At 37.8% G+C, this 1,475-nt stretch overlaps 1 annotated feature.

Moving 5' to 3' along the window:
• Nucleotides 1-1,475: part of a centromere (Linear centromere model derived predominantly from reads generated in PMID: 17803354. This region does not represent an actual centromere sequence, as long-range ordering of repeats and unmapped WGS contigs is not provided by the model. For details of model production, see http://arxiv.org/abs/1307.0035.) that runs on past both edges of the window.

Below are 1,475 nucleotides of genomic sequence, written 5' to 3' on the forward strand. Positions count from 1 at the left end.
CAGAAGAATTCTCAGTAACTTCTTTTGGGATGTATGTATTCAAATCAGAGAGTTGAACTTTCCTTTAGACAGAGCGGATTGGAAACACTCTTTTTGTGGAATTTGCAAGTGGAGAATTCTAGCGCTTTGACGCCAATGGTAGAAAGGAAATATCTTCGTATAAAAACTAGACAGTATCATTCTTAGAAACTCCTTTGTGATGTGTGTATTAAACTCACAGAGTTTAACCTTTCTTTTCATAGAGCAGTTTGGAAACCCTCTGTTTGTGAAGTCTGCAAGTGGATATTTAAACGTCTTTGAGGCCTTCGTTGGAAACGGGATTTTTTCATATAAACCAGGACAGAAGAATTCTCAGAAACTTCTTGATTGTTATGTGTGCATTCAACTCACAGAGTTGAACCTTACTTTGGAAAGAGCAGTTTTCTAACACTCTTTTTGTAAAAGTTCCAAGTGAATACTTTGAGTGCTTTGAAGCCTACGGTTGACAACGAAATATCTTCCTGTAAAAACTACAAAGAATCATTCGCAGAAACCACGTTGTGATCTCTGCATTCAACTCACAGAGTTGAACCTTTCTTCCTATAGAGCAGTTATGAAACAGTCTCTTTGTAGAATTTGCAAGGGTGTATTTAGAGGGCATTGAAGCCTACGGTAGAAAAGGAAATATCTTACCATAAAATCTAGTCAGAAGCATTCTCAGAAACTGAGTTGTGATGTTTGCATTCAACTCACAGAGTTCAACATTCCTTTTAATGGAGCGGTTTTGAAACACTCTTTTTGCAGAATCTGCAAGTGGATATTTGGACCTCTTTGAGGCCTTCGTTGGAAACGGGATTTCTTCATGTAATGCCAGACAGAAGAATTCTCAGTGAATTCTTTCTGTGTGTGTGTATTCAACTCACGGAGTTGAACGTTCCTTTAGACAGAGTAGATTGGAAACACTCTTTTTGTGGAATTTTCAGGTGGAGGTATCATGCGCTTTGAGGCCAATGATAGAAAAGGAAATACCTTCGTATAATAATTAGACGGAATCATTCTCAGAAACTGCTTTGCAATGTGTGCGTTCAACTCACAGTGTTTAACCTTTCTTTTCATACAGTTGTTTCGAAACACTCTTTTTGCAGAATCTGCAAGTGGATATTTGGACCTCTTTGAAGTCTTCGTTGGAAATGGGATTTCTTCATATAATGCTAGACAGAAGACTTCTCAGTAACTGCTTTTTCTGGTGTGTATTCAACTCTCAGAGTTGAACTTTCCTTTAGAAACAGCAGATTTGAAACTCTCTTTTTGTGGAATTTGCAAGTGGAGATTTCAGAGCTTTGAGGCCAATGGTAGAAAAGGAAATATCTTCGTATGCAAACTAGACAGAATCATTCTCAGAAACTACTTTGGTACGTGTGTGTTCAACTCACAGTGTTTAACCTTTCTTTTCATAGAGCAGTTTGGAAACACTCAGTTTGTAAAGTCAGCAACTG

Source organism: Homo sapiens, chromosome 3 (genome assembly GCF_000001405.40).
Source record: "Homo sapiens chromosome 3, GRCh38.p14 Primary Assembly".
Lineage (NCBI taxonomy): Eukaryota > Metazoa > Chordata > Mammalia > Primates > Hominidae > Homo > Homo sapiens.